Raw genomic sequence first — 14,335 nt, forward strand, 5'->3', positions numbered from 1 at the left:
CCTCTGCCTCCCAGGTTCAAGCGATTCTTGTGCCTCAGCCTCTCGAGTAGCTGGGATTATAGGTGTGCGCCACCACGACTGGCTAATTTTGTATTTTTAGTAGAGACAGGGTTTCCCCATGTTGGTCAGGCTAATATTAACTTTTAAATTATGACTTTATTTTATAAATGGGAACTCTTTTTTAAAAGAACTAGACTCCGGCCGGGTGTGGTGGCTTACGCCTGTGATCCCAGCACTTTGGGAGGCTGAGGTGGGTGGATTGCTTGAGGTCAGGAGTTCGAGACCAGCCTGACCAACATGGCGAAACCCCATCTCTACTAAAAATACAAAAAATTCGTCGGATGTGGTGGTGGGTGCCTGTAATCCCAGCTACTCCAGAGGCTGAGGCAGCAGAATCGCTCGAACCTGGGAGGCGGAGGTTACAGTGAGCCAAGATTGCGCCATTGCACTCCAGCCTGGGCAAGAAGAGTGAAACTCCATCATACACACACACACACACACACACATACATACATATATATATCACACAGCAGATTTTTTTTTTAACTTAGGAAGATAATTACTCGCAAGGAGAGGTATAACTGGTTTGTGGTGGTGTCTGCCTGGCATTATCTATAGATCTTGTTCATGCTATGGATTAGAATCAGTGACTGGAAAACTGTTAAAGGAAAGCTTGCAACAGTTCCTTTATGCGTACTGAGAAGTGAAAGATTTCCCAAAGCAAGGGTAAACCTACCAACTTTTTGAAGATAGTATTTCTGAATTTTAAGCAAAAAAAGGGTATCTATTATCTACTCTTTACATATAACTAGATCATATTGTGAACAGTTAGGTTTTTGTTGTTTTTTTGTGGGGGGCAGTTTAGTTTTTTTTTTGAGATGGAGTCTTGCTCTGTCACCCAGGCTGGAGTGCAGTGGCGCGATCTCGGCTCACTGCAAGCTCCACCTCCCGGGTTCATGCCATTCTCCCACCTCAGCCTCCCAAGTAGCTGGGACTACAAGCGCACGCCACCACACCCAGCTAATTTTGTTTTTATATTTTCAGTAGAGACGGGGTTTCACCATGTTAGCCAGGATGGTCTCGATCTCCTGACCTCGTGATCGGCCCGCCTCAGCCTCCCAAAGTGCTGGGATTACAGGTGTGAGCCACCATGCCCGGCCGTAAACAGTTAGTTTTTTATAATCAGCCAACAGAAATTAAATCTATCCAATTATTAATTATTTTCTAAGTGTTTATAATTCAAGAGTGAGGGAGGAGTGGAATATTTTTTAAGAAGGCCCTTACCTAATCACATGAATCTGTAATTTCTAACTAGTTTATAGCAAAAGATGTGGAGAATTTGGTATTTGGAATTCCCTGTGATTATTTGTTCCCTTGTAGACCCAGGTGAGATTAATAAAATTGAGAAAAGAAGCCAACACTCTGAAATTAACCAGTCCTTTTTGATGTGTAGGCCTACCCACATGCCAATCAACATTCAATATCTATAGTCTCCTTATGCTAGTATTATTTAATCCATTTCCACATATAACTTACCTACTTTCTAAGCTGAGTAAAAAGTTTAAACTGATGACTTTTAAGATATATAAAACAGGCTGAGTACCAGGGTGCACACCTGTGATCCCAGCATGTTGGGAGGCTGAGGTCGGAAGATTGCTTGAGCCTAGGGATTCAAGACCAGCCTGGGCAACATGGCGAAACTCCAGCTCTAGAAAAAATTATTAAAATAGCTGATTGTGGTGGTGCACACCTGCAGTCCCAGCTACTGGGAGGTAGAGGTTGGAAGATGGCTTGAGCCTGGGAGGCAAAAGTTGTAGGGAGTCATGATCGTGACACTGCACTCCAGCCTGGGTGCCAGAGTGAGACACTGTCTCAAGAAAAAAAAAGAGAAAAAGATATAAAACATAGCTAAAATTGGCAACAGGCTAACATTTTTTTCTTCTTTGAGAACATAATATGTAACTATGCAATTCTTTGTAAAGTACTTTAATAAGTGACAAATTTATTATTGACTTAGTGAAATAAGTCAGGTATTTTGAAAAGACTTTAGTCAGAAGTGAAATAAAATTTGCAGAGAGAATTTATATAAAAGATTTTTTTGGATTTTCAAATTCAATTTCTTTCTTTTTTTTTTTTTTTTTTTTGAAACAGGGTCTCACTCTGTCACCCAGGCTGGAGTGCAATGGGGTTATCACAGTTCACTGCAGCCTGAAGCTCCCAGGCTCAAGCAGTCCTCACACCCTCACACCTCAGCTTCCCGAGTAGCTGGGACTACAGGCTCATGCCATCACGCTTGGCTAAATTTTTTTGTATTTGTTGAGATGGGGTTTTGCCGTGTTGCCCAGGCTGGTCTCCAGCTCCTGGGATCATGCGATCTGCCTGCCTTGGCCTCTCAAAGTGCTGGGATTGCAGGCATGAGTCACCGTGCTTGGCCTTCAAGTTCAATTTCTAACTAAATAATAGACCTCAAGTTACTTGGAGTAGGAGTGGGGAACCTAATAAATGGAGACTATGTGGAAAAGATTAAAGGCATGCTATTCGTTTTATCTATCTGCATGGAATAAAAAGAAAATGTTTTTTAAACTCTTTTTTTTTTTCAATGTACCCTAATGATTCATGGTCCTTGGTTTTCTTCAAATTGGAGAAATTAGTTCCCAGTATAGTGTTTGACTTTGTTTTCTTTTTTTTTTTTTTTTTTTTTTTTGAGATGGGGTCTTGCTCTGTCGCCAGGCTGGAGTGCAGAGGCGCAATCTCAGCTCACTGCAACCTCAGCCTCTCGAGTAGCGGGGACTACAGGTGTGCGCCACCACACCCAGCTCATTTTTGTATTTTTAGTAGAGATAAGGTTTCACCGTGTTGGCCAGGATGGTCTCCATCTCTTGACCTTGTGATCTGCCTGCCTCGGCCTGGGGCGAGTGCTGGGGCGTGAGCCACTGCACCTGGTGGACTTTGTTTTCATCAACTACTACATGTCAGTTTATCTTAGCAAGCTGTTTTATTTGTTTTTGATTCTCTAGTTGTCTGAGGGAAGTCAAAAGCATGCAAGCCTACAGAAAAGCATTGAGAAAGCTAAAATTGGCCGATGTGAAACGGTAAGTTTGTGTCTATAGATTATTTTAATAATGGCAATTCTAAATATTAGAGTAAGCGACACAGAGCTTCCTGTGAGGAGGATGCATTTCTACCAGAAGAGAAGGGGATCATAGCCAAGGATAGGAACGTTTGACCTGGTAGGATTCACCAATTGTGAGTCTAGATTTTATTATTATTATATATGGCAGCATAGCATAGAAGCATAAACCCTAGAGCCAGACTGCCTGGATTTGAAAGTCTCCTAAATTCTGTTTTCACTTCTCTCTGCTGCAAAATGGGGAATAACAAAATCTGTTATACTTCATTGCGTTATTGTGTGGATTAAACTAGTTAATATTTGCAAAGCACCTAGAAGAGGACCTGGTACATGGTAAGCCCTATATAAATGTTTATGTAAATTTTTAAGACTCTTTTAAAAAAAATTTTTGCATAGAACAAACTGAAAACTATCAACATAGTATCTTTGGCCTTGTAATATTTTAAAATATTAAAAATAAATATTGACCTACTATTTTATTTTTTAAAGTACAATATTTTTCTAAGTATTAGGTTAGAGATTTTAAAAGTCATTTCACTTTCTATTTTCATCATTATCTAAACTATAGATTTATGACTTTAAAAAATATTGAAGATCAACATGAACCACTAAGCATTTCATCCGGGTCTCTATTTGTATCACTTGATTGGGAAAGAAAGCAACTGGAAAACTTGTCACATAGTAGAAAGGGATATAGCAAAGCTTTACAGTGGCTTTATGCTTTCAAAGTTATTTCACATATATTCTTTTATGTGAATCATCAGCACAGTCACAGATAGGAATTGGAGAATAGTCATTTCTGAAGAATATTCAAGGAAAAGTAAACTCTGGGCATAACCTGAAGCTGTTCTATTTCCTCTTCAGTTGACAGTAGCAACTACTACTTCTTTATTTGTTCCTTTTGTTTGTTTTTTTTAAACACTGGCAATAACTTGTAGAACCACCTTCAACTAATGGTGACATATGCTTGCCCAGAAGTTGTCAGCCAGTCTACTGTTAATCCACTGGAACAAGTGCATCTTGCGGGGAAAAACCCACTAGCAAACATAGTTGCCGCCTGCAGATATCAGAAGAGTTTAGTGGTTCAGAAACGTTCCTAAGAAAGATGAAGTCTTGTGCTCATCCTGATCTTACCAGCCAGGACTTTTCAGAGCTACCTAGCCCCTATCTGCTAATTATTCTTGATGATGGTGGTGATCCTGCTGCTGGTAAAGAAGAAAAATAGCTAACGTGTATTCTCCTTACTCTGAGCCAGGCAACTGCTGTTCTAAATGGATTTTGTATATTTATTGAATCCTACCAGCAGTCTATGGCGGTGGCTACCGTTACTGTCTCCATTTTGCTTTCAAGGAACTGGAGGCACAAAGAGGCTAAATACTTTGGCAAAGATCTCAGTGATAGTGATTGTCTAAGATTGTTTCAATGCATGATACCTGGAGAACTATTATTATATTCACATTGGATGTTCACCACTCTGCTTCTCCTGTCTTTTTTTCTCCTCTTGATTTTGTTTTGTTTTTTGGTTTGTTTTTTAGAGATGGAATATCTCTGTATTGCCCAGGCTGCCCTTGAACTCCTGGGCTCAAGTGATCCCCCTGCCTCAACCTCCTGAGTAGCTGGTACTACAGGCAGGCACCACCACACTTGGTGACAGTGTTCCTTTTGAAGCATTTTTATTTGGGTATTGATGGCAAATAATGACCATCTTCTTATAGTTATTTTAAAATCTCTCCTGAGCTGTGCTAATACGATATACACTAACCATGTGTGGCTATTTATATTTAAATAAAAATTAGCTACAATTAAATTTAGTTTCTCGGTCCCAGTGGCCACATTGCATATATTGAGTAGCCACATGTGGCTAGTAGGTCTTGCAGTGAAGAGTGCAGATCTAGAAAGTTTTCCTCACTGCTGAGATTCTGCTGGGCCGTGCTGCTTCTGAGCGTGCTGCTCTGTATATGAGTCTCTTGTACAAATGCTAGCAAAGGAACTCTCTTCACTTTGGAACCAAAAGGAACAGCTAAAAGCAAAGTAGAAAAATACAAATAAAAAATACAAGGTAGCTGGCAACCTTACGAGTCGTGTTAGGCAGTTTGAACTTTACTTGATTTTGCCTCGGATTTATCCTATGATTCTGTACTATAATCTTTGCCAACATTTGGTTTTTGTTTGGGCTTACTTTTCAGGTTTCAGAAATACAAATTGAATATGTATAGCACTATGACTTCTACCTGCTAGTGAGAAATATGGCTAGACATTTCAAATGGTTTTTATTGGATCATATTGTATTTTGAAGCTTTATTCTGGTTTACCTTTAAAGAATAGGTGGTGGGAGGCCTCAAACTACAATTGTATTATTTCTTTAAATGTATATAAAATATAAAGGATATATTAAAATATTCTTAAAAATTGAAAAATTGTCTAGAACACTTTTAAAGATAATTGTATAATGATCGATGTCTTAAAATGTTACTTACACATATAGACATAATCTTGTGAAACTACTCAAAAAGTAGTATAATTTTTTTCTGTAACATACAACGACATGGTCATCTTAGAGTTCTAACATGAACCTCCCACCTATTTATGAGCATTCCATTCTACATATTAACTCCCATTTAGTTATTCAATATATATAAAAGATACTTGAGATTTCAGGAAAGATGAGAATTGAGCTTATTCTTATACTGTGAATATCTGTGTGTGTATACTTATATATATAATGTCAAAAGTCTAATGCACATCATTTATAAGAAATAAAATGAAATTGTTATAAAATGTATTACCTTACAACATATAGAATTTTGTTTGTCTTAATTGAACATAAAACTATCTGGAATGCAGGAAGAGCGAACCAGGCTAGCAAAAGAGCTTTCTTCACTTCGAGACCAAAGGGAACAGCTAAAGGCAGAAGTAGAAAAATACAAAGACTGTGATCCGCAAGTTGTGGAAGAAATACGTAAGTTTGTGTCATACCTTAGGGATCTTTAACTTTGATAATGAAGAAGACTTTATTTTTCTAGTTGCCTGCTAACTATTCTCCATGTATATGAGAAAATAAAACTAGTTAAGGTAGTATTCTGTTTGTAGTACTCTAATTTTGTATTTGTAACATAGTAGGAAAATATTGCTTTAGTATTGCCATTAAAAAGTCTTAATGTGCCGGGCACGTTGGCTTATGCCTGTAATTCCAGCACTTTGGGAGGCTGAGGTGGGTGGATTGCTTGAGCTCAGGAGTTCAAGACCAGCCTGGCCAACATGGTGAAATCCCATCTCTACAAAAAAAAAACACAAAATTAGCCAAGCATGGTGACAGATGCCAGTAGTCCCAGCTACTCAGGAGGCTGGGGTGGGAGAATCCCTCAAGCCCAGGAGGTTGAAGCTGCAGTGTGCTATACGTGCCATTGCACTCCAGCTAGGGTGACACAGTAGAACTCTGTCTCAAAAAAAAAGAGAGAAGTCTTAATGTTAGAGCATTGAACAGCGACAATTTTGAAATTATAAGCATTTTAAAATTAAGGAAGAAGTGTGGGATAGAAGGATAAAGACATAAAATATAAGGTTAGAGAACTGAGGAGTTAGTAAAAGAGCTAATTTGGCCTCAAGAACTTTGATTCTGTAAAGAAATCCATCATTATCTTCTAGGAAAAATGATACCATAAGTAGAAGAGTTTGCAAGTTGCAGAAAATCAGTCTGTACATTGAGTTGCCTTTTAAATATACCAGTCATTTTTTTTTCCTTGTTTTAGACCAGAGTCCCCAGAGCCTTGTTTTGAATAATGTTTATATTTTTTTAAAGATAGAAATGTGAATATTTAAGGAGATAAAAGAGTGTATTATAAAGGCATAGCATTTAATTGTTTGGGAAAATATTTATAACTTTTTAAATAATTTTCTGTCTTAGCCTGTCTTTTATTTAGGAAACTTTACCAAGTGAAACTCATAGAAAAACTGATATTATAGTGTGTGATAGAAGGCTTTGAAAGAAATGGAAAATATTTGGTATGTTAAAATTAACCTGAGGATAGTTTGATTGCAACTAAGCTGGCCTAGTCCTTGGCAGTGGTCTTTACAATTAAAGAATTGTAAGCAGTTCAGTTAGTGTAAATCTAAAGTTAAACTTCATTTAAGAGACAGGTCGCTGCTTTGCGCAACTCCAGGAGGCACCATTCACATATATGGAGTACATAGCCTAGGTGGTGATATGTAGTGCCACTGGTTCAGCTGATTACCCAGGGTGATTTTCAAAGAGAGGTGGAGGCAGAAGAACTCCCTGAGCCAGTCATTGTCTGTAAATTAAGTATTTGGGGAGAATGTCAGCTCTTTTATGCTGACCACAGATTTATTTGTCATCATCCTGCAGAAGAAAGTGCTAATCAAATCTACACCTACAAAAATAAATACCTTAATCTGTTGGAAAGTTTTAACTAATACCAGGTGATCCTCAGTGAGCACAAGCACATCACAACAGGAGAGTACCTCACAGGTAGAAGGTTACTGTTAGGAAGCTAGGCCTGCGTATGATTCATCTTCAAAAGGAAACAGACTGCTTGTTCAGGAGGACTTAGAACATTGTGTACCTTATCTAGAGCACCTTCTCATTCTCTTGCAAGAGAACTTCAAGCACAGTTTTCTTAACTAGGTTGAATACTTTCAGGTGATTTATTTTCAGGATAGCATGACTGTGCCCTCTAGCAGTTCATCATGAAAAATCTGAGTTTCACGATAACCAAATCGGACCCTTCATTTACTCTTACTTGCCTTTTTTCCTGATTTCAGTTTTGTGTGATTCTTGTACTTTTTCCTTGGTGTGCTACCTCTTTGCTTACCTGTTTCATTCTCTTATATGTCTAGGACCTACAACTCTTAGGTATATCCAAAAAGACGTAAGCTTTTCCACTCCATGGTCCCTATTGTACTGCCACAGCTATTTCCATGGGCAGGTGACCCTCACTGACATCACCTCCAATTGACTCCCCAGTCCTTTTCTTAATTTTGATATATTCTGCCCACTCAGGAATGAATAAAACTCTTATTTAGGCTTACTAAACTACTGTAACCTACACTGATAGTGACCCTGAGCCAGTGGATCACATTAAGGTTCAGGAAATTAACAGGGATAGGGAATTGTGCCAGACCAATTCATGAAGTGGGGAAAACTTGTATTTTAGGCATGTAATTTAAGATGTTGCCATTCCTTGTAGGTCTGATTCGAGTAGCACTTTTGGCAAACACATCACCTCTTAGGTAATAAAACTTCAGAAAAGAAGTTCAGGGTATACAAAGGACGGTGAACTTTCTGGAGGGTGGAATAACACAGTTGAGGAGGCGGCAACTGAAATTTTAAACTGGTTGCCTGCATTCTGCTGTCTATCTTAACCCTTAAATTTATAACTTTGGTAATTTATTTCCCAACCCAAGGAAAACATGCCATTGTGAATGAGTATTATGAGTATTACAGTATATGAGGTCTCACTGAGAGAACAAACCTGAAATTTTCTGTTTTTTCAGTGAGATTTTTTTTTTTTTTTTTTTTTTTTTTTTGGAGACAGGGCCTTGCTCTGTCTCCCAGACTGAAGTGCAGTGCATGATCAGGGATCACGGTAGCCTCAACCCCCGCAAGCTCAAGTCATTCCCCCACCTCAGCTTCCCAAATAGCTGGGACTACAGGCACATGTCACTACACCCAGCTAGTTTACTTTTACTTTTATTTTTTATAGAGATGGTGTCTCGCTATATTGCCCAGCTGGTCTCGAACTCCTGGCCTCAAGCAGTTCTCTCCCCTTGGCCTCCCAAAGTTCTGGGATTACAGGTGTGATTCACCATGTTTGGCCTTTATCATTTTTCATCACCATCAGACTAGGTTATCTTTTAATAGTTATTTATGCAACCATGTAAAGATGGATCCTGGAGAACTTGTAATGGAGTCTATTAGAGATATATTAATTTTTTACTTGGGAATGAGAGAGTAAGAATCCTTCCTTCCTGGCTTTGTGCATTTTAAAAAATTTATTAAAGATTATCATCTTTTTTGCAGGCACAGTGGCTCATGCCTGTAATCCCAGCACTTTGGGAGGCCAAGGCAGGAAGATAGCTTTAGGCTAGGAGTTTGAGATTAGCCTGGGCAAGAGAGTGAGACCCTATCTCTACAAACAATTTAAAATTAGCTGGTCATGCTGGCATGCGCTTTATTCAAGTTTTCTTCCTCCAGTTTTATTACCTTTCTACTTGAGAGGCTGAGATGGGAGGATTCCTTGCACCCAGTAGTTCAAGGCTGTAGTGAGCTATGGTCGTGCCACTATACTCCAGCCTGGGCAACCGAGTGAGACCCTGTTTCTTGAAAAAGGATTAACATCTAGCAAGATAAAATTCATTATGTCTGGCATACAAGCAAAGACTACCAGGCCTGGAGAGAAGTGGGAAAACATTATCTATAATGAGCAGAATACTCCATCAGTCAAAATTGACCCAGAAATTAGGATCAGAAGACCAGAACATTTAAAAAGTTATTATAACTGTATTCCATATGTTCAAAAAGTTAAGTGGAAATAGAGAAGATATAAAAAAGACCCAGGTCAAACTTTTGAACATGAAAACTACAATGTCTGACATGAAAAATACACTATGGTAAATTACCAGCAGATTAAATTTTGCAGAAGAAAGAATTGATGTTAGTTGAAGATATAGCAATAGAAATATCCAAAATGAAACACAGAAAATAAAGAATTTAAAAAATATGAAAATGGGGCCAGGCGCAGTGGCTCACGCCTGTAATTCCAGCACTTTGGGAGGCCAAGGTGAGTGGATCACTTGAGCCCAGGAGTTCGAGACCAGCCTGGACAGCATATGGAGTCCTTGACTCCCATATAAATAAAATAAAAATTTTAAAAATATGAAAATGGCATCTGAGCCTTAAGACAACTTCAAGGGACCTAATATATGTGTAATTACAGTCCCAAATGGAGTATGTTTTGGTGGGAGGAGAGGTTGCTGAGCCAGAAAAATATCTAAAGAAATAAAAGCTAAAGTTTTTCAAATTTGATGAAAAGTATAAACCCACAAATCCAAGAAATTTAAATATTTAAGTAGTAGATGCCAGTGATCCCCTTATCACTAACTTTAGAGAACTTCTTAAGACTTTAACCTCTACTCACCCCAAATCTCCATTCCTCAATGAAATTATTGTTTTTAAAGTGCACTTTTTGATAGGGGTTTCATGGGATTTCAGCTATCATGTTAACGCAGAACAGATTATACTGGATTAAAGGCTTATGAGTTTCACAAATTGATTTTAATAGGATTTGGTTCTTAGTAGCATGGCTATTGCCCCCCATATTATATTGCTCAGGCTTATCTCTAAGTCTGTCATGATTTATTCAGAGAACAATTTGGTGACTGTAGCCATAACCATTTGTTCATATGGGGCATGGCTATGTATTTTCTTATTTCTCACTAACACCCATGAGAAATACATATATTTAATTATGCCAGTTGAATTATTGATATCATTAAGCAAGTATTTAGAAGACTAATTGCTTTGGAGGCAGAGGCAGGCGGATCACTAGGGGTCAGGAGTTTGAGACCAGCCTGGCCAACTTGGTGAAATGCTGTTTCTATTAAAAATACAACAATTAGCCAGGCATGGTGACACACACCTGTAATCCCAGCTACTCTGGACGCTGAGGCAGGAGAATCGCTTGAACTGGGGAGGCGAAGGCTGCAATGAGCCAACATCATGCACTGCACTCCATCCTGGGTGACAGAGCGAAACAGTCTCAAAACAACAACAACAAACATTAATTGCAATATCAAAGAAGTGATATTTAAAAGCAACAATTCTTTAAACAATTTTTTAATTTAGCTATTCTGACCATTATTCAAATGTGACCAGATAAAACATGTTAGTAGAAATTAAATTCCCACAAAAATACTTGAAAATATCTTAGAGGTACTTAAGTAATTTTCTTAGAAATAAATGCCAGGATGACAGTAAAAAGGTGGAGTAAGGACTTCTGAAACTTTGCCCTTTCAGAAAACTTGCAAAAATTGTTGTAGTCAACTTTTTCAGAACTCTGGAAATTAACCAAAGGCTTACAGGAGCCTACTGAGGAAAATTAGCAGACTCTGAGTAAGAATAATGAGCTTTGTGGTATTGAATTTGCCTATACTCATTTCCCAGTCTCACCGCAGCAGTGACCTTGAAGGATAACAACCCTGCATTCCTACTGTCTAGAGGAACAAAATGCCCCTGGAACTCTGTAAGAGCCTTGATCCCAAAGAATTGTCATTATTTACATGTTTGGTGGTTCCCTGGAGGACACCAATAGGAAAAACTGTCTTTATTTGATCTGGCCTCGGGTATGCCCAATGCTAAAATCCTCTCTGTGGGGAGTGTTTGTCTATAACAATTATAAACAATAATTTTAACTTCTCAGTTAACCATTGTTGATGAATAACAGTTGAGGCAAACAGTAGACTAATCAAAAAGCTTAAAAGGGCCAGATGCAGTGGTTTATGCTTGTAATCCTAACACTTTGGGAAGATTGCTTGAGCCCAAGAGTTCAAAACCAGTCTGAAGAAAATGGCAAAACTCCATCTATGTAAAAAATTTAAAAATTAGGCATGGTGGCATGTGCCTGTAGTACTAGCTACTCAGGAGGCTGAGGTGGGAGGATCACTTGAGCCGAGGAGATCAAGACTGCAGTGAGCCATGATCGTGCCACTCTGCTCCAGCTTGGGTGACAGAGTGAGAACCTTCTAAAAAAAAAAGGAGAAACTAAATGATATGTTCATGAGAGCCTTGAAGAGCAACATATTCCTGGAAATATAGAAGGCCTACATGCATGCTTAGGGTTGTTCACATTCTCAGTGAAGACCTGGGACAGTCCCCACATCTAGCTGACCTTGATACTCTGTGCAAGCAAGAAGCAAAGACTAAGTCAGAGTTATAAACTGCCTTGCTGAGAACGCATGTCGCAGCACATGCAAACCCTCTTAGCAAAGACGGCTGAGCCCTTTGGAAAAGAGAACCTCTTCATAGAGGTTTAGTCCAAGTGTTTAAGGAAATCTCTGTTCAATTAATAGCTTGACCACTAAGCTAACCAAGTAGAGACTTAAGTGGCCACACTTAAGAACACGGACTTTACAGATTGAGTTCAGGAAAGTTACTAAACAAATTGTAACAACTCTACGAGCAACAATCCTGGGGAGGGGGAAGAATCTGCTTTCTAGGGTTGCTATGAGACAGAATCTTGCTCTGTAACCCAAGCTGGAGTGCAGTGGCACAATCTTGGCTCACTACAACCTCTGCTTCCCGGCCGGGTTCAAGTGATTCTCGTGCCTCAGCCTCCCAAGTAGCTGGGATTACAGTGCCTTATATTATTTTTTAAATTAATTATTACTTTTTTTTTTGAGACACTCTCACTCTGTCACCTCAGCTGGAGTGCAGTGGCATGATCATGACTCAGTGCAGCCTCAACCTCTTGGGCTCAAGCAATCCTCCTGCCTCAGTCCCCTGAGTAGCTGGAACTACAAGCACATGCTACCATGCTGAGCTAATTTTTGTAGAGACAGGATTTCACCATGTTACTCAGGCTAACATTATTTTAAATGTCCAGTTTTGCAACAAAAAGATTGCAAGACATACAAAGAAATAAACTATGGCTCACACACTGGAGTGAAAATGTTTCAATGGAAACTGTTCCCGAGAAAGCCCATGTGTTGGACTTACTAGACAAAGACACTTTAAATATATTCAAAGAGAAATGAAAAACGAGAAAATCAAAACCAAAAATTGGTTCTTTTTTTTTTTTTTTTTTTTTTTTTTGAGGTGGAGTCTTGCTCTGTCACCAGGCTGGAGTGCAGTGGCGTGATCTCAGCTCACTGCAACCTCCGCCTCCTGGGTTCAAGCAATTCTTCTGCCTCAGCCTCCTAAGTAGCTGAGACTACAGGCACGTGCCACCACGCCCAGCTTTTTTTTTTTTTTTTTCTGTATTTTTAGTAGAGATGAGGTTTCACCATGTTGGCCAGGATGGTCTCGATCTCTTGACTTCGTGATCTGCCCGCCTCAGCCTCGCAAAGTTTGCGATTACAGGTGTGAGCCACTGTGCACGGCCTTTTTTTTTTTGAAACGGGGTTTCAGTCTTGTGGGAGTGCAGTGGTGCGATCTCGGCTCACTACAACCTCCGCCTCCCTGGTTCAAGCAATTCTCCTGCGTCAGCCTCCTGAGTAGCTGGGATTACAGGTGCTCACCACCACGCCTGGCTAATTTTTTTTTGCATTTTTAGTAGAAACGGGGTTTCGCCATGTTGGCCAGGCTTGTCTTGAACTCCTGACCTCCGGTGATCTGCCCGCCTCGGCCTCTGAAAGTGCTAGGATTACAGGCATGAGCCACCACACCTGGCCCAAAAATTCGTTCTTTAAGCGGATCACAAAGTAGACAAACCTTTAGCTAGACAAAAGAGAAATAGAAAAAAATTAGTAGCTGGGACTAGAAGTGTGCACCTCTACACCTGGCTAATTTTTTTTTTATTATCTTTTTTGTAGAGACGGGGTCCCACTATGTTAGCTAGACTGGTCTCGAACTCCTGGGCTCAAGCAGTCCTCCTGCCTCAGCCTCCCAAAGTGCTAGGAATCCAGGTGTGAGCTATTGCACCTGGCTGAAAGACAATATTATTAAGGAAATACTCCCCAAATTGATCTACAGATTCAATGCTAAACCTATCAAAATTTCAGCTGCTTTTTTGCAGAAATTGGTAAGCTGATCTTAAGTTTCATATGGAAATGCAAGAGATCCAGAATAGTCAAAAGAATCTTGAAAAAGAACAAAGTTACAGACTCAAATTTCCCAATTTCAAAACTCGCTACAAGGCTGCAGTTATCAAGACAGTATGGTAGTGGTATGAGAATAGACATGCACACTTCGGGAAGCTGAGGCGGGTGGATCATGAGGTCAGGAGATCGAGACCATCCTGGCTAACACGGTGAAACCCCATCTCTACTAAAAATATAAAAAATTAGCCAGGCGTGGTGGGTGCCTGTAGTCCCAGCTACTTGGGAGGCTGAGGCAGGAGAATAGTGTGAACCCAGGAGGCGGAGCTTGCAGTGAGCCGAGATCATGCCACTGCACTCCAGCCTGGACGACAGAGCAAGACTCTGTCTCAAAAAGAAAAAAAAAAAAGAATAGACATATAGATTAATGGAATG

General features: G+C 39.5%; 1 protein-coding gene across 4 annotated transcripts in view; it reads left to right on the forward strand.

Annotated features, from left to right (window-relative positions):
• Nucleotides 1-14,335, forward strand: part of MND1 (meiotic nuclear divisions 1) — a 70,470-nt gene that overhangs the window by 46,596 nt on the left and 9,539 nt on the right. For 3 of the 4 annotated variants that reach the window (NR_045605.2, XM_005263275.3, NM_032117.4), the window contains 2 exons: nucleotides 3,018-3,092; nucleotides 5,975-6,089. Coding sequence is in view for 3 of the 4 variants with exons in the window: in XM_005263275.3 (XP_005263332.1) it covers nucleotides 3,018-3,092; nucleotides 5,975-6,089 (190 nt within the window). In the remaining variant the exon portion in view is untranslated. The remainder of the gene's footprint in view (nucleotides 1-3,017; nucleotides 3,093-5,974; nucleotides 6,090-14,335) is intronic. The other variant, NM_001253861.1, reaches the window with a different exon arrangement.

This window comes from Homo sapiens, chromosome 4 (assembly GCF_000001405.40).
Source record: "Homo sapiens chromosome 4, GRCh38.p14 Primary Assembly".
Lineage (NCBI taxonomy): Eukaryota > Metazoa > Chordata > Mammalia > Primates > Hominidae > Homo > Homo sapiens.